We start from the raw sequence: 24043 nt of genomic DNA on the forward strand, positions 1-24043 counted from the left end.
TCTTCGAATATAGTTTTTGCATCCACTTGACGAGGAAGGAGCCTCTACCCTAAACAAAAATGGCGGGAGCTGCTTCACACGTAGTCCCTCACGCAGAAAGCCTGGAAGGCCCCCTCCACTTTCTCTCCACCTTCGCACTCCTGACCCCGGAAGGACTCCGCCTTCTCCATGTCAGACTGCTGCTCAGCGCCAGGCATCAGCTGGGAAGCTGGCGTGGGCAGGCCAGCTGTACCTGGCCTGGAGCTCCAGGTACAGGGCCAGGGGCGGGGTGGGGTGGAGAGGCGGGCGGGAGGAAGCGGAGAGTTGAGCGGCCACGCAGTTGGGGCAGAGGCCTCGGGGCAGGGGTGGCGCGGACTCCATCGCTGGCGTTAGCTCTCGGAGTGCCAGGTGGAGCGGCGGAAAGCCAGAGGGTCTACGGCCGTGCCACCCTGAACACCCCCGACCTCGTCTCATCTCAGAAGCTAAGCAGGGTCGGGCCTGGTTAGTACTTGCATAGGAAAGCAGGAGGGTCCCCACGCCAGAGGGAGGCCTGCAAAGGAAGCGCGGAATTGGGATGGGCTCGCCACTGCTCTGAGCCAGAGGAAGGGTCTGGACGGCCGAGCTGGAGGGACCCCCTTTTCTGGTGTTCTTGGCAAAGAAAAAGGAAGACAGCAGAGGAGAGCTCCGCGAGGGGCTGCTGTGGGGTCGGGGGAGAGCGCGCTGGAGGTAGGGCAGCTGGTGAGGTCTCAGGTTCGGCTTGGATGCGGGTGGTTTTGAGCAGGGAGTGGCTTTTGGATGTGAAAGATTACTCTGCTTTGCAGGTGCTTTAAGAGAATAATTTAGCACGGGAGTATTGTGGTGTCAGGTCCTTCTGTAAAGTTGTTAAATTATCTATTTTCCAGAGGGAAGACTCAGCTTGTTTTTGCACAGGACTTTGAAACCTTTATTATTGTTGTTTTATTGTTGTTGTTATTGCAGCTAAACATGTTTGCTCTGTTCAAAGTGTCAGAGTTAGGTTATATAGATTTGTGCTTCACGTCAATTTTCTTTTTGATACTTCAGACTTTCCTTCCTGTTGGATTATAAAGTCAAAGTTGCAGGATAGAATTTTAAGATGTCTAAGAAACTGTTTATGACACTTATTTTTAATTCCCCAGTAGTTGGAATGTAGAGGAGCAAGTAATATCACACAGGACAATATTTTTGGTTATGTTTTATAGATTCCGTCTATAAATTTGAATAATCATGAAACCCCCTTCATGTTTATTTTTATTATGCTTCTGAAAGCAAATGAAATGACTAGTTTTTTGTTTTTTTTTCTTTAGTTTTTCAATGAATAATGATTAGGTTTGGAATCAACTTCCTCAGTAATATTAAATGAAAAAGAATGAGGTAGTTAGAATGCAAAAATAGAGGTTTGTCATAATATTTTTTCTTTTTTCTTTTTTTTTTTTTTTTGAGGCGGAGTCTGGCTCTGTCGCCCAGGCTGGAGTGCAATGGCGTGATCTCTGCTCACTGCAACCTCCGCCCCTAGGGTTCTAGAAGTTCTCCTACCTCAGCCTTCCGAGTAGCTGGGATTACAGGCGCCCGACATCACTCCTGGCTAATTTTTTTGTATTTGTAGTAGAGATGGGGTTTCGCTATATTGGCCAGGCTGGTCTTGAACTCTTGACCTCAACTGATCCACCCACCTCGGCCTCCCAAAATGCTGGGATTACAGGCGTGAGCCACCACGCCTGGCCGAGGTTTGTCATAATCTTTTAAGAATATCTCTGCAGCCAATTAAAGTGTTTGCTTTATTTTCTTTCTATTCTGCTTAAAAATTTGGAATGCTCCATTATAGGGAAAATTACTTTGGGTGAATTACTCAATACGTTTTTTAAATGCAGTAGCATAGATTGCTTAATGATCCAGAATCTAATTAGTAAAAATGTTTCTCAAAATAAAATGTGTTAATATTTAGGGAGGGGGAAGAATAAATGAGCTTCCCCCCACTTCCTTTTTACTGTAGTAATATTAAAAAAGTAATACATGTAGGCAGGTTTTTAAAAATCAAGTATTACAAACAGACTTATAAGGAAAAGCAGTCATTCTTTGCCCAGCTTTTCTATATCCCTTGTCTTATTCTCCAGAGGACCATTTTTCACTTTCTTAACTGTTCATGGTTTCCTCTGTACTTTTTAATCATATGTCTCTATCACAGGTTGTTGACTGAAATAAATGTATGTCAAGTAGAACTAACTATACTGAATCTAAAAGTTGTACTTAGAACACTGGTAGGGGGGATTAAGTTTATACTGCTGTATCCCTAGTAAGGATTAAGGGAAGCATCAGTAGTAGTAACCCACCCTAAGAGGTATTGCTGTGTTTGATTTTAAAGGAAACCACTACTTAATCAGTGGTTTTGACACTTGTCTGAAAACAGGTGGGTATTAACAGAAGGGGATAGTCTATTGGAGTATAGAAAAAGAGAACATAGAAATGTATGCAGAAATGAAGGGCCTAAAAAAGTGTAGCAAATAATTTTTTTTTTTTTTGGTGTAGGCAGGGTTTCACCATGTTTCCCAGGCTGGTCTCGAACTCCTGGGTTCATGGACTCAAGCAATCCACCCATCTCGGCCTCCCAAAGTCACTCCCAAAGTGCTCAGGCATGAGCCACTCACTGTGCCCAGCCGCAAATAAACTTTTATAGAGGGATTGCTGGTAATTTTTATATTCTGTTATGTAATATACAGCACTACCCAAATAAAAGAAATAATAAATTTGGTAGACATAAACATTGTGGTTATTAGAGAAGCCCATTCTCTTGTGCATTAGAGATAATGCTTAGGCGTTTTCTTGGCCTGAATGAAATATTCCTCAGGACTCTTGATTTTTGCACTCATCAGGCAACATTTTTGACTTATTAGTTCAGCTTCCTATGGTCTTTTATTTCAGGGATGGTATGTTTTGATAGAATATGTACACTAGATCGTTTATTTCTTTATTATAAATAGATAAACTTGTAAAGTGATTTATGCATCAATACCATGTAAATTTGTTTAACATGTGTTCAACTGGGTACAGTGGTAAAATTACGTTTCTGGCTCTATAAAGCAGAGACCCAGACCCTGAACCACTGCCTTAATGACCTCTCTTTGTGTGTCAACTGCTTCTCTGTACTCATCTGACTTTTCTTTTTTTGTTTAAGAGAAATAATACGCATTAAAACTATACCAAAATCATATAGCATATATGTGGCATTTCTTTGAAGATCTTTAAAATGAGACAATAGGAGAATAAATGCGTGAGTTCTGGAGTTCAGTCAGTGAACTCTGAGGTTCTAGCCCCAAGATTCTGTTCCAGATTCCATTCAGCAACCTGCCTGCCACCTACTCTCACCCCCGCAGTTATATGAAGGAAACCAAATGAATGAGAAGTAAATTTTAAATTACTCCCTAAAAAGTGTTAAATTTTTATGTAACCAGAAAAGAGAGAATCTAGAACTCGCAATTTCCTAAGGAAAATTTGCTACCCGGACTCAAAGTTTAAATCTAGCTTTTTTTTTTTTTTAACTTCTTATTTTTTATGCTATCTCCTACAGGAAGGATAGCTTATTGTTTCTTTTACGCGTTTGGTGATTAATAAATATAATTTTAGCTCAAGTGTAATGTCATCAATAATTGACTGCAAAAATAAGCTGATAGAATTAAATTTTCAGTTTGTACCTTTCATTGGTAAAGTAACCAGAAATCTTTGTGGCTAATTTTTTTTATGTTTCATTTAATGAAGATTAGAAGAGGAGCCATGTCAGAAGAAACAGTAAGTGAATCACAGTTTTCCTTGAAGACAGCAGCGCTAAGAGTGTTTGATCTTCCTCTGACTTGGTACTATTCTCTCTCCCAGGTAAATAAAAGAAGCAAACAGGAAGTTGAATATTAAGCTTATTGCTCAGAGCATATTTTGTTTACATTATTTCAGTTTTATTTGAGGTTTCTATATAGTACAGTCAAAATATTTATTACAGTAGTTAAAAAACCTACTTGGTTATTTCACGGGTTTTTGTTTTTGGTTTTGGTTATTGTAACTCTTAAAAAAAGGTTATGTTACTTAAAAATTTTTTTCTGTCTTAAGCAAACTTACATAGTCCATTATTATTACTTTCAGTGAATTATGTTATTCCAGTAGGCCTGTTCTCACTATTAACAATCCTTTAAATTTTATTGTGGTAAGGTACAAATAACATAAAATTGACCATTTTGATCATTTTTAAGTGTATAGTTCATTAGCCTTAAGTACATTCACATTGTTGTACAAACAATATCCAGAATTTTTTTCATCTTGCAAAACTCAAACTCTACAACTGTTTATCAACATCTTACTGTACCTCCTTCCCGTCATTCCCCACCACCATTCTGTTTCCTGTCTGTATGAATTCGACCAGGTACCTCACAAGTAGAACCCTACAGAATTTTTTTGTGACTAGCTCACTTTACTTAGCATAATGTCCTCAAGGTTCATCCATGTTGTAGCATATGTCAGCATTTCCTTTCTTTTTAAGGTAGAATAATATTTCGTTGTGTGGATATACTACATTTTGCTTATGTGTGTGTTTGTTGATGGACATTGGATTGCGTCCATGTTTTTGCTATTGTGAATAATGCTGCTATAAACATGGACATACAAATATCTCTTTGAGATCCTGCTTTTAATTATTTTGTGTCAAGTGAAATTGCTGGATCATACAGTAATTCTACTTTTAATTAAATTTATTTATTTATGTATTTATTTATTTATTATTATTTTTTAGAGGCAGGGTCTTGCTTTGGAGTACAGTGGCAAGATCATAGCTCACTGCAGCCTCAAACTCCTGGGGTCAAGCAATCCTCCCACTTCAGCCTCTCAAGTAGCTGGGACTACAGGCATGTGCCACCATCTCTCCACCAGTTTTTAAATTTTTTGAAGAGACAGAGTCTCAGCATGTTGACCAGGCTGGTCTTGAACTCCTGGCCTCAAATCATCCTCTCACTTTGACCTCCTAAAGTACTGGGATTATAGGTGTCAGCTGGTTCACCCAGCCCTATTTTTAATTTTTTGAGGAACTGCCATACTGTTTTTCACAGTAGCTGTACCACTTTACGTTTCTACCAATAGTGCACAGTTTTTCCACATAGTGCACAGTTTTTCCACATCCTCATCAATGCTTGTTATTTTCTATTTCATTGATAGTAGCCATCCTAATAGGTATGAGGTTATATTAGTCCGTTTTCATGCTGCTGATAAAGATATACCCAAGACTGGGCAATTTACAAAAGAAAGACGTTTATTGGACTCACAGTTCCACATGGCTGGGGAGGTCTCACAATCATGGTGGAAGGTGAAAATCACATCTCATATGGCGGCAGACAAGAGCTTGTGCAAAAAAACTCCCATTTTTGAAACTGTCAGATATTGTGACACTTACTCATTATCATGAGAACAGCAAGGGAAGGACTTGTCCCCATGATTCAGTTACCTACCATTGGGTCCCTCCCACAACACGTGGGAATTCAAGATGAGATTTGGGTGGGGACACAGCCAAACCATATCATTCTGCTCCTGGCCCCTCCCAAATCTCATGTCCTCACATTTCAGAAGCAATCATGCCTTCCCAACAGTCCCTCAAAGTCTTGACTCATTTCAGCATTAACTCAAAAGTCCACAGTCCAAAGTCTCATCTGAGACAAGGCAAGTCCCTTCCACCTATAAGCCTGTAAAATCAAAAGCAAATTAGTTACTTCCTAGATAGAATGGGGGTATGGGCATTGGGTAAATATGGCTATTCCGAATGGGAAAAATTGGCCAAAACAAAGGAGCTACAGGCCCCATGCAAGTTTGAAATCCAGCAGGGCAGTCAAAAATTTTTTTTTTTTTTTGAGAGGGAGTTTGGCTCTTGTTGCCCAGGCTGAAGTGCAATGGTACAATCTTGGCTCACCGCAACCTCTGCCTCCCGAGTTCAAGCGATTCTCCTGCCTCAGCCTCCTGAGTAGCTGGGATTACAGACATGTGCCACCACGCCTGGCTAGTTTTGTATTTTTAGTAGAGATGGGGTTTCTCCATGTTGGTCAGGCTGGTCTTGAACTGCTGACCTCAGGTGATCTGCCTGCCTTGGCCTCCCAAAGTACTGGGATTACAGGTGTGAGCCACTGCACCCGGCCAGGGCAGTCAAATATTAAAGTTCCAAAATGATCTCTTTTGACTCCATGTCTCACATCCAGGTCATGCTGATGCAAGAGGTGGGTTCCCATGGTCGTAGGTAGCTCTGCCCTTGTGGCTTTGCAGGGTACAGCCTCCCTCCCGGCTGCTTTTATGGGCTGGCATTGAATGTCTGTGGCTTTCCCAGGTGTATGGTGCAAGCTGTTGGTGGATCTATCATTCTGGGGTCTGGAGGACGGTGGCCCTCTTCTCACAGCTGCACTAGGCGGTGCCCCAGTAGGGACTCTGTGTGGGGCCTCCGACTCCATGTTTCCCTTCTGTACTGCCCTAGCAGAGGTTCTCCATGAGGGCCCACCCCTGCAGCAAACTTCTGCCTGGGCATCCAGGCATTTCCATACATCTTCTGAAATCTAGGTGGAGGTTCCCAAACTCCAATTCTTGATTTCTGTGCACTGGCAGCCTCAACACCATGTGGAAGTTGCTAAGGCTTGTGGCTTGCACCCTCTGAAGCCACAGCCCAAGCTCTATGGTGGCCCCTTTCAACCATGGCTAGAGTGGCTGGGATGCAGGGCACCAAGTCCCTAGGCTGCACACAGCACGGGGACACTGGGCCTGGCCCCTGAAACCACTTTTTCCTCCTAGGCCTCCTGGCTGGTGATGGGAGGGGCTGCCGTGAAGACCTCTGACATGCCCTGGAGACATTTTCCCCATTATCTTGGGGATTAACATTTGGCTTCTCTTTACTTATGCAAATTTCTGCAGCCTGCTTGAACTTCTCAGAAAATGGAATTTTCTTTTCTATGGCATTGTCAGGTTGCAAATTTTCCAAACTTTTGTGCTCTGCATCCCTTATAAAACTGAATGCCTTTAACAGCACCCAAGTCACCTCTTGAATGCTTTGCTGCTTAGAGGTTTCTTCTGCTAGATACCCTAAATCATCTCTCTCAAGTTCAATGTTTCACAGATTTCTAGGTCAGGGGCAAAATGCCACCAGTCTCTTTGCTAAAATATAGTAAGAGTCACCTTTGTGCCAGTTCCCAATGAGTTCCTCATCTCCATCTGAGACCACCTCAGCCTCACTTTATTATTCATATCACTATCAGCATTTTGAGCAAAGCCATTCAACAAGACTCTAGGAAGTTCCAAACTTTCCCACATTTTCCTCTCTTCTTCTGAGCCCTCCAAACTATTTGAACCTCTGCCTGTTATCCCGTTCCAAAGTCACATCCACATTTTTGGGTATCTTTTCAGCAGCACCCCACTCTACTGGTACCAATTTACTGTATTAGTCCATTTTCATGCTGCTGATAAAGACATACCTGAGACTGGGCAATTTACAAAAGAAAGCTTTATTGGACTTACAGTTCCATGTAGCTGGGGAGGCCTCACAATCATGGCGGAAGGTGAAAGGCACGTCTCACATGGCAGCCGCAAGAGAGAGTGAGAGCCAAATGAAATGGGTTTCCCCTTATCAAACCATCAGATCTCGTGAGACTTATGCGCTGTCATGAGAACAGCAAGGGAAGGACTTGTCCCCATGATTCAATTACCTGCCACTGGGTCCCTCTCACAACACATGGGAATTCAAGATGAGATTTGGGTGGGGACACAGCCAAACCATATCAAAGGTAGTATATCCTTCTGGTTTTGATTTGTATTTCCCTGATGATGTTGAGCATCTTCTCATGTGCTTATTGACCATTTATATGTATCCTTTGAAGAAATGTATATTTTAGTCCTTTGCCCTTTTTTTTTTTTTTTGTAAGACAGAATCTCACTCTGTTGCATGGGCTGGAATGCAGTGGTGCAATCTCACTGCTCACTGCAGCCTCGGCCTCCTGGGTTCAAGCAATTCTCCCTGCCTTAGCCTCCTGAGTAGCTGAGATTACAGGCGCCTGCCACCATACCTGGCTAATTTTTGTATTTTTAATAGAGTCAGGGTTTTGCCATGCTGGCCAGGCTCGTCTGGAACTCCTGACCTCAGGTGATCTGCCCGCCTCCGCCTCCCAAAGTGTTGGGATTACAGGTGTGAGCCACTTGTGCCTGGCCCCTTTGCCCATTTTTGAAATTGTTTTGTTCTCGTGGAGTTTTAGTTCTCTGTATAGTCTGGATATTAATTCCTTGTTAGTTATATGATTTCCATATATTTCTCCAATTCTGTGAATTACTTTTCTTTTCTTTTTTTTTTTTTTTGAGATGGAGTCTCACTCTGTCACCCAAGCTGGAGTGTAGTGGTGCAGTCTTGGCTCACTGCAACCTCTGCCTCCTGGGTTCAAGCAATTCTCCTGCCTCAGCCTCCCGAGTAGCTGGTATTACAGGTGCCTGCCACCACACCTGGCTAATTTTTGTATTTTTTCTTTTTTTTAGACAGAGTCTCGCTTCTTCACCCAGGTTAGAGTGCAATGGCGCAATCTCGGCTCACTGCAACCTCCGCTCACTGCAACCTCCGCCTCCTGGGTTCAAGCAATTCTTCTGCCTCAGCTTCCCAAGTAGCTGGGATTATAGGCATGTGCCAGCATGCCTGGCTAATTTTTGTATTTTTAATAGAGATGGGGTTTCACCATGTTGGCCAGGCTGGTCTTGAACTCCTGACGTCAAGTGATCCGCCTGCCTTGGCCTCCCAAAGTGCTGGGATTATAGGCATGAGCCAGTGTACCTGGCCTAATTTTTGTATTTTTAGTAGAGACGGGGTTTCACTATGTTGGCTAGGCTGGTCTCGAACTCCTGACCTTAAGCGATCCACCCACCTTGGCCTCCAAAGTGCTGGGATTACAGGCATGAACCACGGTGCCCAACCCTGTGAATTACTTTTTTATTCTGTTGATGGTGTCTTTTGATGCACAAAATTTTAAAATTTTCATCAAGTCTTGTTTGTATCTTTTTTTTGTTGCCTGTGTCTTCATTGTCATATTTAAGAAGTCATTGCCAAATCCGATGTTGTGAAGCTTCTTAGGGTTTTAGGACTTATATTTAGGTCTTTGATCCATTTTGAGTTAATTTTTGTATGTATTATTAGGTAAGGGTCCAGTTTTCCCTATACCATTTGTTGAAAAAACTCTCCATTTCCGACTGAATGGTCTTGCACCCCTGTGGAAAATCATTTGATGATATATGTGAGGTTTTATTTCTGTGCCCTTGATGCCAGTACCTTACTGTTTTGATTACTGTCGCTTTATAGTGAGTTTTGAAATTAGGAAATGTGAGTCCTCCAGCTTTGTTCTTCTTTTTCAAGTTTATTTTGGCTATTCTAAGTCCCTTGAGATTCCGTATGACATTTAGGATGGGTTTTTCTATTTCTGCCAAAAAATCATTGGGATTTTGATAGAGACTGCATTGAATCTGTAGATTGCTTTGGGTAGTATTGACATCTTAACAATGTTAAGTCTTCTAATCTATGAACATGGGATGTGTTTCTGTTTATTCATGTTTTCTTTAATTTCTTTCAGCAACGTGTATATATATATATTTTTAAATTGTAGAAGTCTTTCACATCTTTGGTTAATTCCTAAGTATTGTATTCTTTTGGATAATAATCTAAATGGAATTGTGGGGGGCGGTTGCTTTTTTTTTTTTTTTTTTTTCTTTGAGACGAGGTCTTGCTTTGTTGCCCGGGCTGCAAATCCCGGCAGTAAGTCATGGCTCACTGCAGCTGAATCCTCCCAGGCTCAGGTGATCCTTCCACCTTAGCCTCCCAAGTAGCTTGTACTACAGGAGTGTACCAACACACCCAGCTAATTTTTTTTATTTTTTGTAGAGACAGGGTTTTACCATCTTGCCCAGGCTGGTCTCAAACTCCTGGATTCAAGCGATCCTCCCGTATTGGCCTCCCAAAGTGCTAGGATAATGGGTGTGAGCCACCGTGTTTGGCTTTCTCTCTCTTTCTCTTTTTTTAACCAGATTTTAAAATAACAAGATGGTTCTGTAGTATCCTTCACAGCCAATCAATGAAAGTTTTTTAAAAATCGTTTTGATCTTATGGATTTAATTGTATTTGATGTTTTAAACCATTGCATTTATTTATTCTTATTTATGCTCAAATGATCTCATATTTGGCCAGTGAGAGTCTATTCAGGTTGGTTCCTGAGTGCTCTTGATAAAACCCTCGTAATCCTTGCTATCTAGTATAAAATGGCACAGGCTTATCTTGTACTTTTCCTGCTCCATACCTAGAATCAACCACTTCTTCAAGGACCCCTTTAGTGTAAAATGATAAAGACAACAAACTAGGTACCATGAGTCAATTCAGATTACAGTGAATAGTTGTGAGAAGGAAAACAATCCAATTATAAAACCCTCCCAAAAGTTCTTTGGTTTGAATTATTCTGGATTAGAAACTAGGTTGGTACAGCTTATTTTTAAAAACTTTATTTTGAAATAATTATAGATTCATAGGAAGTTGCAAAAATTATACAGCAAGGCCCAGTGTACCTTTTATCCCATTTCCCCCAATGGTTACATTTTATATGACTATAGTACAATATCACAATCAAGAAATTGACAGTGACAATGTATGTATATAATTCTATGCCAAGCCATTTTATCATATGCATAGATTTATGTAACCACAGCCTCTATCAAGATCCAGAACTCTTCTATCACCTTAAAGATTTACCTCTTGCATCCTCTTTATAATCACACTCACACCTTTCTTTTTTTGTCTCTGTCCTCCAGGCTGGAGCACAGTGACGCAGTCTCAGCTCACTGCAAGCTCCGCCTCCCGGGTTCAAGTGATTCTCCTGCCTCAGTCTCCTGAGTAGCTGGGACTACAGGCTCCCGCCACCACACCCGGCTAATTTTTTGTATTTTTAGTAGAGACGGGGTTTCACCATGTTAGCCAGGATGGTCTTGATCTCCTCACCTCGTGATCTGCCCGCCTCGGCCTCCCAAAGTGCTGGGATTACAGGCATGAACCACTGCGCCCGGCCCCCACCTTTCTTTGCACCATTCCTTTTTTTTTTTTTTGAGACAGAGTTTTGCTCCTGTTGCCCAGGTAGGAGTGCAATGGTGCGATCTTGGCTCACTTGCAACCTCCACATCCCAGGTTCAAGCGATTCTCCTGCCTCAGCCCCATGAGTAGCTGAGATTACAGGTGCCCACCATCATGCCCGGCTAATCTTTTGTATTTTTAGTAGAGATGGGGTTTCACCATGTTGGCCAGGTTCGTCCCAAACTCCTGACCTCAAGTTATCCACCCGCCTCAGCCTCCCAAAGTGCTGGGATTACAGGTGTGAGCCACTGTGCCTGGCCCCTCGCACCATTCCTAATCCCTGGTGAACCCTAATCTGTTTTCCATCTATAGTTTTGTCATTTCAAGACTGCTATATAAGGCTGAGAACAGTGGTTTATTCCTGTAATCCCAGCACTTTGGCTGGCAGGAGGATTGCTTGAGACCAAGAGTTTGAGACCAGCCTAGGCAATATAGTGAGACCTTGTCACTACAAAAATAAAAATAAATATAAGCTGGGCATGGTGGTAGGTGCCTATAGTTCTAGCTGAGGAGGCTGAGAAGAGAGGATCACTTGAGCCCAGAATTTCAAGGATGTATTAAGCTCTGATTGCATTATTGCACTCCAGCCTGGCAACAGAGCAAGACCCTGTCTCTTAAAAAAAAAAAAAAAAAAAAAACAAAAAACTGCTATATAAATGGAGTCACACAGGCTGTTACCTTTTGAAATTGGCCTTTTTTCACTCAGCATAATGCCCTTGAGTTCCAGCAAAGCTGTTGAATGTATTACCAGTTTGTTCCTTTTTATTTTGTACTCCATGGTATGTATGGATGTACCACAATTTGTTAACCATTCATTTACTGAGGGTCATTTAATATTACAAAATAAACCTGCTTTAAACATTTGCTTGTAGGTGTTTGTGTGGACATGTTTTTATTTTTCTGGGATAAATGCTCAGAAGTAGATATTTAAGTTTTTTTTTTTTTTTTTTTTTTTAAACAGAGTCTTGCTCTGTCACCCAGACTGGAGTGCAGTGGTGTGATCTTGGCTCATTGCAACCTCAGTCTCCTGGGTTCAAGTGGTTCTTGTGCCTCAGCCTCCTGATTTGGTGGGATTACAGGCGCACACCACCATGCCTGGCTAATTTTTGTATTTTTAGTAGAGACAGGGTTTCACCATCTTGGCCAGGCTGGTCTTGAACTCCTGACCTCAAGTGATCTACCTGCCTCAGCCTCCCAAAGTGGTGGGATTACAGGCATGAGCCACTGCGCCTGGCCCAATACTTAGTTTTTAAAGAAATTACAAAATTAATTATTGGCTGTATCATTTTACATTACTACCATCAAAGTATGAGAAGTCTAGTTTTCCCATATTCTCACCAGCATTTGGTATTGTCACTTCAAAATAATTATTTTAGATGTTCTAATATAACTGAACAAAAGTCTGGCTGCTCACTGCTTGAGGACCAAAACATGAGAAAGAAAGAGTGGTGAAAGGAAAGCAACTTTATTGAAATGCTAGCAGTTGGGATAGGCTAGGCTTATGTCTCCAAAAGACCATTTCAAGTGTTAGGCTGAGGGAAGGGGTTTAAAAAGAGGAGACTTGGTATGGGAAACATAAGAGTAACACAGGATGCAGGTTCCTATGTGTTGTTCCAAGGACTATCTCGAATTATTGTCTGCCTGGAGTACAGGCTGGTGCCATTTTATTTGCTGCTGAGTTACAGATTATCAGTTTTGAGGTAATCTCCCTGTAGAGGAGAATTCATTCCACCGCTGGGTCTTTTTGCCTGGGTTGTTGTAGCCCCTGGAATTTCTTAACAAGCATGCAGTTAGGTAAGTGTGCATGGTGCAAGGGAGTGTCTGGTGGGAAAGAGAGGGGAGCAGAGTTCAAAGAAGATTTCAAGGCCATATTTTAAGACTTAGGACACAAAGTTTCTACAGTTTGTTTCAAGGTTACATCTTAAGACTAGAGAAAAAGGATAAAAAAAGTTTTAAAATGCATTTCAAAGCTGAAATACTCAGTTACACTAATAGTTTTGTACTGGTATCTCACTGTGGTCTTAATTTGCATTTCCCAATTGGCTAATGATGTTGAACATCTTCTTGGGTTTGTGTGTGTTTGCCATCTGTATATCATCTTCAATGAAATGAAATGTCTCTTCATGTCCTTTGCCCATTTTCTAAATTGGATTGTTTGCTTTTTTTTTTTTTTTTTTTGAGATGGAGTCTCACCCTTGTAGCCCAGGCTGGAGTGCAGTGGCGCGATCTCAGCTCACTGCAACCTCTGCCTCCCGGGTTCAAGTGATTCTCCTGTCTCAGCCTCCTGAATAGCTGAGATTACAGGCATGCAGCACTATGCCCGGCTAATTTTTTTGTATTTTTAGTAGAGACGGGGTTTTACCACGTTGGCCAGCCTGGTCTTGAACTCCTGACCTTAGGTGATCTGCCCGCCTCAGCCTCCCAAAGTACTGGGATTACAGGCATGAGCCACAGCACCCGGCCTGTTTTTTTTGTTTGTATGTTTTTTGTTTTTTAAAGACAGGGTCTCTCTGTTGCCCGGGCTGGAGTGCAGTGGTGTGATATCGGCTCATTGTAGCCTCAATCTTCTGGGCTCAAGCAATTCTCTCACTTTAGTCTCCTCATTAGCTGTGACGCAGGCATGCACCACCATGCCTGGCTAATTTTTGTATTTTTTGTAGAGACGGGGTCTCACCATGTTGCCCAGGCTGGTCTGGAACTCCTGAGCTCAAGCAGTCTGTCCGCTTTGGCCTCACAAAGTGCTGGGATTATAGGCATGAGCCATGGTGCCCAGCCTATTTGCTTTTTTTACTGTTGAATCCTGAGAGGTTTTTTTTGTTTGTTTGTTTGCTTGTTTGTTTTGTTTTGTTTTGAGAAAGGATTCCCTCTATCATCCAGACTGGAATGCAGTGGCACAATCTTGGCTCGCTGCAACCTCTGCCTCCCAGGCTCAAGTGATTCTCATGCCTCAGCCTCCTGAGTAGCTGGGACTACAGGCATGCGCCACCATGCCCAGCTAATTTTTTTTTTTTTTTGTATTTTTAATAGAGATGGGGTTTCACCATGTTGCCCAGGCTGGTCTACCTGACTTCAAGTGATCTGCCCACCTCAGCCTCCCAAAGTGCTGGGATTACAGGCGTGAACCACTGTGCCTGGCTGCTTTACTAAAATTTTATCTTTTTTTTTTTTTTTTTTTTTGAGACAGGGTCTCACTCTGTCGCCCAGGCTGGAGTGCAGTGGCGTGATCTCAGCTCACTGCAACCTCTACCTCCTGGGTTCAAGCAATTCTCGTGCTTCAGCCTCCCAAGTGGTTGGGATTACAGGTGAGCACCACCGCACCTGGCTAATTTTTTATTATTTTTTGTAGAGGTGGGGTTTCGCCATGTTGGCCAGGCTGGTCTCGAACTCCTGACCTCAAGTGATCTGCCCGCCTCAGCCTCCCAAAGTGTTGGGATTACAGCCATGAGCCACCGCGCCCGGCCTTAAACTTTTATTTTGAAAGAATTTTATTTACCAAAGAGTTGCAAAGATTGTACATAGAATTCTCGTGTATGCTTTGTATTAACATCTTAATATTAATGTCTGTTATAACTCTAATACAACTATCAAAACTAAGATTAACATTGTAATCTTAATTTTGTAAGTAATATTCTTAACTACACTATAGACTTTATTTAGGTTTTATTACTTTTTTCCACCTTATATCCTTCAGGATCTTATCTAGGTTCCCACATTGCATTTAGTTGTCAGGTTTCCTTAGTCTTCTCCAATCTGTGACAGTTCTTTCAGTTTTCCTTGGTTTATATGACCTGCTGCTTTTGAAATATATAGGATAGGTATTTTGCAGAATGTCCCTCAGTTGAGTGTGTCTTATGTTTTCTCAGGGTTGGATTCAAGTTATGCATTTTTGGCAAGATGTCACAATATCAGGGGATACATGATGATGTCTGTGTGCCTTGTTACTGGTGATAGTAGCTTTGATCACTGGTCAGGCATGGTGTCTCATTCCTATAATCCCAGCACTTTGGCATGACAAGGTGGGAGGATTACTTGAACACAGTGATGCATGTCTGTAGTCCCAGCTACTCTGGAGGCTAAAGTGGGAGGATCGCTTGAGCCCTGGAGTTTAAGGCTCTGGTGAGCTGTGATTGCACACTGCACGCTAGCCTGGGCAACAGAGCGAGACCCTGTCTTTTGAAAAAAGGCACACACACACACCCCTTGATCATTTAGTTAAGGATGTGTCTGCCACACTTTTCCACTTTTTCTCCTTTGTAAATAAGAAGTTTGGAGGTAGAGACTTTGACACTGTAAGATATCTTACTTTAGTACTTATTTCTTGATGCTGCCTTCAGGAGTTTTTTGTTTTTTTTTTAAGATGCACCCTTGCTCTGTTGCCCAGGCCGGAGTGCAGTGGCGTGATCTCGGCTCACTGCAATCTCCACCTCCCGGGTTCAAGCAATTCTCCTGTCTCAGCCACCCGAGTAGCTGGGACTACAGGCGCATGCCACCATGCCCAGCTAATTTTTGTATTTTTAGTAAAGATGGGGTTTCACCATACTGGTCAGGCTGGTCTTAAACGGCTGACCTCAGGTGATCCACCTGCCTCGGCCTCTCAAAGTGCTGGGATTTACAGGTGTGAGCCACTGCACCCAGCCAGCAGTTCTTACTGAAGTGTTTATTGGTGATTTTCTATTTCCTTCATTACTTCTACATTTATTATTTGGAATATTTTTCTTTTTCTTTTCTTTTTTTTTTTGAGATAGTTTCTTGCTCTGTTGCCCAGGCAGGAGTGCAGTGGCACAATCATGACTTACTGCTCGGCTCAAGCAATCCCCCTACCTCAGCCTCCAAGTAGCTGGGACTGTGGGCACCCACTGCCATACCCTGCCAATTTTTGTATTTTTGTTAGAGATGGAGCTTCACCATGTTGCCCAGGCTGGTCTCAAACTCCGGCTCAAGTGATCTCTCCACCTTGTCCTCCCAGAGGTGTGAGCCACCATGCTGGGCCTGGTATATTACTTTCTTTTTTTTTTTTTTTTGGAGAGATTCTCACTCTGTCGTTGAGGCTGGAGTGTAGTGGCATGATCTCGGCTCACTGCAACCTCTGCCTCCTGGGTTCAAGCGATTCTCCTGCCTCAGCCTCCTGAGTAGCTGGGATTATAGGTGTGCGCCACCATGCCTGGCTAATTTTTTTTTGTATTTTTAGTAGAGACGGGGTTTCACCATGTTGGCCAGGCCAGTCTGGAACTCCTGACCTCAAGCTATCCACCCGCCTCAGCCTCCCAAAGTGCTGGTCATATTGATACTTCTGACTTCAATCCAACAACAGATATTTCATTTTAGCATTCCTAGTTGGATCATTTGTGACGTGTTTATTCAGCAGTGAGACACCTGGCTCTCATTAACTATAGTGTATTACTCATAATATATTTACTTATTATAATATCTAGTGTACACATAAAGAAATTTCAGAATTTGCACCCCAATACTCCTCTTTTTAAAATTCAACTTAATTTTTTTTTTTTTTGAGATGGAGTCTCTCTCTGTCACCCAGGTTGGAGCACAGTGGCATGATCTCGGCTCACTGCAAGCTCTGCCTCCTGGGTTCACGCCATTCTCCTGCCTCAGCCTCCCAAGTAGCTGGGACTACAGGCGACCGCCACCATGCCGGCTAATTTTTTTGTATTTTTAGTAGAGACGGGGTTTCACCATATTAGCCAGGATGGTCTCGATCTCCTGACCTCGTGATCCACCCGCCTTGGCCTCCCAAAGTACTGGGATTACAGGCGTGAGCCCACCGTGCCTGGTCTTAATTTTTTTTTTTTTTTTAAGAGATGGAGTCTCACTTTGTCACACAGGCTGGAGTGCAGTGGTGCGATAGTAGCTCACTGCAACCTCGAACCCCTGGGCTCAACTTATTCTCCTGCCTCAGTTTTCCAAATAGCTGAGACTACAGGCAGGTACCACTGCAGTTGGCCCCAGTACTCCTTTGAGAAACAAATTTACCAACAGGTTACAGTATTTATGTCTAACTCTTTTTGTCTGTAGTCTTACAATATCCAGGCAAAACACTGTCACTTAGGTCAGCGCCTTTCTTCCTCACACCTTTCAGTGTGCTTCATTTGGAACAAAGTTTGATTTACTTTTCACAGCCTGTGATTTATCTTTGGATCCATCTGTGATCCCATATCCTGGTTGATTTTTTTTCAATTGACATGGAGCACAATTTGTTCTTTGTTGTGCCCAGTTCTGTGTGTTTTTACAGCTGTGCAATCATGTGTCCATCACCACAGCACCAAACAGAACAGTTCTTCATCCCCAGAGTTCCCGTGTGCTGCCCCTTTGTGGTCACCTCTGACCGCTAGCTGCCATTGATGTTTTCTGTCCCTGTAGTTTTATCTTTACCCACAAATGTCACATAAATGGAATTAAACAACGTATAATCTTTTGAAATTGGCTTTTTCCTTTTACCATAATGCATTTGAAATTCATCCACATTGTTGTTTGTCTGAATAGTTTGTCCTTTTTTGTTGATGAGTAACATTCCATTGTATGAATGTACTACAGTTTATCTGTTCACCTGTTGAAGGGCATCCAGGTTGTTTCTGATTTTAGGTGATTATGAGGTCATACATATTTTCTCCTGTGTTTTCTTCTAGAAATTTCTTCTTTGGATTTTCTTTCTACCTTTGACAAAAATAGATTGACTATATGTTTGTGTGTGTTTCTTGCAGGCTGTCTATTCTACTGTATTGATCTATACGTCCACACTGTATTGCCTGTTGCTTTACAGTTAAGTCTTGAATTCAGCTATTTTGAGTTCTGCAACTTTGTTCTTTTTAAAATTGTTTTGGTTCCTCTAGTTCTTTTGCCTTTTCTTAATTTTTTAAAAATAAGCTTATCAGTAACTACAAAAATTTTTCTGGGTTTTTTATTTGGATTATGTTGTTTATGTAGATCAAATTGGAGAGAAAAATTCCTATAATCCATGAATATGATGTCTCTCTCCTTTTATCTTCTTTGATATCTTTTGTGTTTCATTGTTACCTAGCACAGATTTTATTAGATTTAGCTCTAGTATTTTCCTTTTCTTTTTCTTGGTGCTATTATAAATAGTATTACTTTTTGAAATTCAAATTCCGGTTGCTTATTGCTTTTATACAGAAATACAGTTGATATTGTATATTGACTTTGTATTCTGTTATCTTGTGAAACTTACCTACTAGTTATAGGAGCTTTTTTGTAGATTCTTTGTAACTTTATAGACAGCTGTATCATATGTGAATAGTTTTACTTCTTCCTTTCTAATATGTATTCCTTTTATTCCTGTTTCTTAATTTTTTGTACTGGCTAGTACTTCTAATACGACATTGGTGAAATGACATCCTTGCCTTGTTCATGATCTTATGGGGAAAGCATTTAGTTTTTCACCATTAAGCATGATCTTAGCTACAGGTTTTTAAAATAAATACCCTTTATCAGATGGAGGAATTTCCCTTTTGTGTTAGTTCCCCAGAGTTACCATAACAAATTACTACAAACTTGGTGACTTACAACAATAGAAATTTAATTTTTTAATTATGGAGGCTGAAATCACAGTGTAGCAGAGCCACACTTCCTCTGAAGGTTCTAGGGGAGAATCCTTCCTTGCCTTTTCCAGCTTCTGGTGACTCCAGACATTCTTGGCTGTAGCAGCATGGATTAGTCAGTTCTCACTCTGCTGATAAAGACATACCTGAGACTGGATAATTTATAAAGAAAAAGAGGTTTAATGGACTCACAGTTCCACATGGCTGGTGAGGCCTCACAATTATGGTAGAAGGCAAAAGGTGCGTCTTCCATGGCGGCAGACAAGAGAGAAGTGAGAGCCAAGCGAAAGGAGTTTCCCCTTATAAAAGCATCAGCTCTTGTGAGACATATTCTCTACCATGAGGACAGTAGGAAACTGCCCCTATGATTCAATTATCTCCCACGGGGGCCAACTCACAACACGTGGGAATTATGGGCGCTACAATTCAAGATGAGATTTGGGTGGGGATGTAGCCAAACCATATCACAGCATAGCTTCAGTGTCTTTACATGGCCTTCCCCTTTGTGTATTTATGGCTTACAAAGATACTCTCATTGGATTGAGGGCACACCCTAATCCAGTATGGTCTCATCTGAATTCTTACTTTAATTATATCAGCAAAGACCCTATTTTCAAATATGATCACATTCTGATGTTCCAGGTGGACATGAATCATTCTGGGACACTATTCAACCTACTACACCTTCTATTCCTAATTTGCTGGGAGTTTTTAAGTAGTCATAAATGGATGTTGAATGTTTTAAAGTGTTCTTTTCACATCTGTTGAGATAATATTATGGCTTTCTTTAGCTGATATTATGGTAAGTTACATTGATTTTTAAATGTTGAACCAGATTTGCATTCCTAGGATGTATACCACTTGGTTATTTATATATTTTTTAATATATTGATGGATTTTATTTGTTAATATTTTGTGGAAGATTTTTTGCATCTATCAATGAGGGATATTAACCTATAGTTTTATTTTTTGTGATGTCTTTGTCTGGCTTTGATATTAACTGTCCCCAACTTAACAATTTTTTGACTTCAAGATGATGCACAACCATTGCAAATTTGACATAATGTACGGTATTCAATAAATTACTTGAGACATCTAAGACTTTCTCATAAAAAGGCTTTGTGTTACATGATTTTGCCCAAATGTAGACTAATGTATTAATAAGTGTTCTGAGCATGTTTAAGATAGGCTAGTTTAAGCCATGATGTTTGGTAGTTTGGGTTTATTAAATCAATTTCTGACTTATGTTTTTAAACTTAGGATGGGTTTATTGGCTATAACCCCATTATAAGTCAAACAGCATCTGGACTAGATTGATAACATGATTAGGACGTATCCTCATTGTGAAATTGATACTGTTTCTTCTTTAACTACTTGGTGTAATTTGGCCTTCAGTTTTCCTTGTTGGAAGGTTTTTAACTACCTATTCAATTTCTTTAATAGATATTTAACTGCTTGTGTTACCTGTTTTTTTTTCCGAGTGAGTTTTGATTTTGTCCTTTGTGGTCATAGAATTGTTTATAGGATCCTTTTTACAGACCTTTGTGAGGTCTGCAGTAATGACTCCTCCTCTTTTTTTTCTGATTTTGGTAATTTGTGTCATTCTTGCTTTTTTTTCTTAATAAGACTGGCTAGAGGTTTTATTAGTTTTCCTTCCAAAAAAAAAAACCAGCTGTTGGTCTTATTGATTTCTGCTTTAATCTTTATAATGCTTCCTATATCCTGCTTGTTTTAGGTTGAATTTGTACTTCTTTTTCTAGAATCTTAAGTCGAAAGCTTAGATTACTGATTTGATATCTTTCCTTTTTTAATATAAGCATTTAATGGCATAAATTTCTCTCTAAAGTTAAAGATGCATCCACAGTTTAAGGCTTTTGTTCTTTAATGGGGATAGAGGAGAAAGGTTATGGTGCTGGTTCATGCCCTCCACAGAAGCTGCTGTTTCCCTCCCTCTGTACCATTAGGGAGACTTTTGTAGGACTCTTTCAGTATTTTCTACGAGTGCCTGGTGATTCTTGATGATAAGATATGCAAGAAAGGTGTGGATTTCACCTACATTTGCAGCACCTCTCTCCAGCCTCTCAACAGTGTATTCTTTCTCCACCAGATTTGAAACGATGCTTGCTGACCTCTTCTTGCTAACGTCATGCTATGTCTTGTCCGTGTAAGCCAATGCTAATGTCTTACCTCTCTGCAAATGCCTGTCTCGTTAGTTTAGGGGGCAATTGGTTGCCCTCTGATCTCCGTATTCTGATGGAGTCAGAATACTTTATTTTGTTGTTGGAGGGTTGAAAGTGACATTCTTTCCAGCTCTCAACATTCCAAGCCTTTAGCTTTATTTTAGAGTTCCTTTGCTTTTAGGTATTTAATAGTGTTTGTCTCCCAAGAGAAAGTTAATCGCTTCTTGCTCTGATGTTAGTACTTATATAACTTAGTACTTGTATAACTGTATTTATCACATTATGCTGTAATTATTTGCCAATATATCTGTCTCCACTCTTAGCACACTGCTTGAGGGAAATAGAAGAGTATACGCAAAATGCAAGATCTGTGACCTCTGTATACATAGTGCTTCCTGATTGGTTGTAGGCACTTATTATGTGCTCATAGAATAGAATTACAGTAAGATTTTAATTTATAACACAGTCCTGGTACTTTAAGATTCTGAAGAAATATTTGTTAAATAATTTGTGAATAAAATGGCTTATTTAGAAAGTATTTAGAAATGGATTTAGCTTCTATTTCCTCAGATTTCCAGATAGTTTTTTTTAAAGCTCAGTTTAATCATCCCTGTAAAAAATCTTGCTGTGATTCAGACAGAAGATTCAGTTGCGTGAATTAATCCTTAATTGCTCAAAAAATATTAACGGGGTTGAATTATTTTCTGCTCCTATTGACTTTGGGGTAATATTGTTTACCTGAGATCTTCAGAGTAGTGAGTAATAAATTACAACATTTAAGATATTTTTTAAAAAATCAAATTGGGCTAGCTTGTCATTGAAAGAGTGAAATGATATTCTCTTGATAGTATTTAGAAATAGGTTAGATTAAGAGTAAGTTTAGTTATTAGGTCCTTCTTTTAAGTGAACAAATTAAAGAGATTTTTTTCAATTTTAACTGAATCTTTTCCAGATCAAATTTTCTCCGGTGGCTAAAAAGTTGTTTGTGGTAACTGCAGTGAGTGCTATATCTGTAATTTTTCTGGCTCATCACTTTAAAAGAAAACGTGGAAAGAAGAAAGGAAAAATATTACCATGGGAACCAGAGCACCTCATACTTGAATACACTAAAAGAGCAGCATCAGACAAAGGTATGTGGAAATAGTTGAAGTAAGTGTACAAAAGTGTGTAAATCATAACTGGAATACAGTGATTTTGGTCTTTTAGTCTCCAGAATTTTCTTCCTAATATATTATTTAACTCAAAAGTAGTACAGATTTATTTTAGAAAGATTAGAAAATGTAGATAAGCAAACAAAAAATTAAAATTACTTGACATTCTGGTACCCAGAAATAACTACTGATAATACTTTCATGTATATCAGTCCACTTATATTTGTATTTAAATGTCATATTGAGACATAAAATGTTATATACAAGTAAATTATTTATGTATTTTAAGTAAAATTGTAATCAGACATTTTGTAACCTGCTTTTAAGATATTTGACAGTGTGGAAGAATGTCTTTCCAGGTCAATAAATATCCCTCTGTGCTATCATTTTTAATATATAACTAGTGTTAATTTGTATGAATGTACCCCAATTTATTTAATCATTTCCCCATTGTTCCCTTTAGGATGCTTGTGTTTTTCTTATTTTGTGTATCCTTGTCTATTTTCCTTAGTATGTAGAGTTCAAGAAGTAAGTTGCTGTCTTTTAAAGGATCTTTAATTTTTGGTAAAGATATCGTATGAATAAAAATAATTCCTTAAACATGCTGAGTTTCTTAGTTTTTTATTATTTAGTGAGTGTGTGATATGCTTTTGTGAGTCATCTGTCCAGCATACAATTAATGAGTGACTATTTCGTACTGAGTGCAGTGAACATTGCAACAGTAATGATTGCTGTCACTTGCTGAGATTTTATTAGGTCTCAGGTAAGTGCCATATATTCAGTGCTTTATTTAACCTTACAGCAATCCTGTGAATTAGGATTATAGTCTTGTTATTGTTTCTATATTCTACATAAAGAAAACTGAGATATGCAAAAGCTAAGTGACTTGCCCAAGGTCATATAATTTATAAGTGCCGGGATTTGAATCCAGGAACATCTTAACTGCTGCATTAAGAAAAACTTGTGCAGCATGGTGACTCGTTACTATAATTCCAGCACTTTGGGAGGCCAAAGCAGGAGGATGGCTTGAGCCCAGTAGTTTAAACCAGCCTGGACAACATAGTGGGACCACATCTTTACAAAAATAACAATAAAAAAATTGTTTTTTTTGGTGTGGTGGCACAGCTAGCTAGTCCCAGCTACTCGGGAGGCTGAAGTGGGAGGATCACCTGACCCAGGACGTCAGTGCTGCAGTGAGACATGATTGCACCACTGCACTCCAGCCAGGGTGACAGAGTGAGATCTTTTCTCAAAAAAAGGAAAAAAAAAAACCAAGAAACTAATGTCAGTCTTAGAAGAATGGATAGATGAGTAGAAGAGGCAGAAGTATAACTAATTTCAATGCAATGAGATTTGGGTAAGGTTTAGATGTAATTCAGAAAAGGAAATGCCTGTATTTTGTTAAATTTACAGTTTAACAAAATTGTAAATTTAACATAGTCACCAGTATTTTTATACTGGTTACAATAGACCATTCAAATACCATCCTAATTTATTAGGTGAATATTCTATTCTTCATTTCAGAAGCAGATTTTAGCAGTGTTGAAAAAAGATTATATAAGATTATATAAAGATTTAGATTTTAATAATGATGTACATGTAATAATTTACACAAGTGAGTGATGCATGTTTTAAAATTAGAAGCTTTCTGGGTGAATATATTATAAACTCTGAAATTTTTACCTGAAATTTATCATTGGCGTTATTGATATTTTTAATATTAGTATGTTTATTTGATAGGTTCAAGTTGTTCCAGTAGCAGACAGAATTTGACATTATCTTTAAGTTCTACCAAAGACAAAGGATCTCAAGTTTGTAACTATGCTAATGGAGGACTTTTCAGTAAATATTCAGGTTCTGCACAGAGTTTGGCCTCTGTAAGTACAGAAAAAATATTAATTTTTAAAATTTTTGTTTATATGTCTTCTGTGATCTATTAGTTTAAGTGTCATATACTTATAGTTCTTAGTATGGAAATACTCTTAAGAAATCGTCTGAATG

At 40.0% G+C, this 24043-nt stretch overlaps 1 protein-coding gene and 1 pseudogene across 17 annotated transcripts in view, besides 1 other annotated feature; both read left to right on the top strand.

Moving 5' to 3' along the window:
• Positions 49 to 138: an enhancer, noted in NCBI's record as "active region_1221". NCBI's record gives its function as "activates an Ori minimal core promoter by ATAC-STARR-seq in GM12878 lymphoblastoid cells {active_cell/tissue: GM12878}" and the evidence as "EXISTENCE:reporter gene assay evidence [ECO:0000049][PMID:35858748]".
• Positions 162 to 24043, top strand: part of MIGA1 (mitoguardin 1) — a 99892-nt gene continuing 76010 nt past the window's right edge. For 4 of the 17 annotated variants that reach the window (NM_001270384.2, NM_198549.4, NM_001416120.1 and 1 more), the window contains exons 1-4: positions 162 to 249; positions 3751 to 3864; positions 21844 to 22021; positions 23783 to 23919. In NM_001270384.2, coding sequence (NP_001257313.1) covers positions 169 to 249; positions 3751 to 3864; positions 21844 to 22021; positions 23783 to 23919 — 510 coding nt within the window. In that variant the 5' untranslated portion in view covers positions 162 to 168. Of the gene's footprint in view, positions 250 to 317; positions 706 to 3750; positions 3865 to 21843; positions 22022 to 23782; positions 23920 to 24043 lie in introns of those variants that run through there. The other 13 variants (NM_001394570.1, NM_001394571.1, NM_001394576.1 and 10 more) reach the window with 7 other exon arrangements.
• RNA5SP21 (RNA, 5S ribosomal pseudogene 21) lies at positions 417 to 512 on the top strand (annotated as a pseudogene).

The sequence above is a fragment of the Homo sapiens genome, chromosome 1, assembly GCF_000001405.40.
Source record: "Homo sapiens chromosome 1, GRCh38.p14 Primary Assembly".
Classification (NCBI taxonomy): domain Eukaryota; kingdom Metazoa; phylum Chordata; class Mammalia; order Primates; family Hominidae; genus Homo; species Homo sapiens.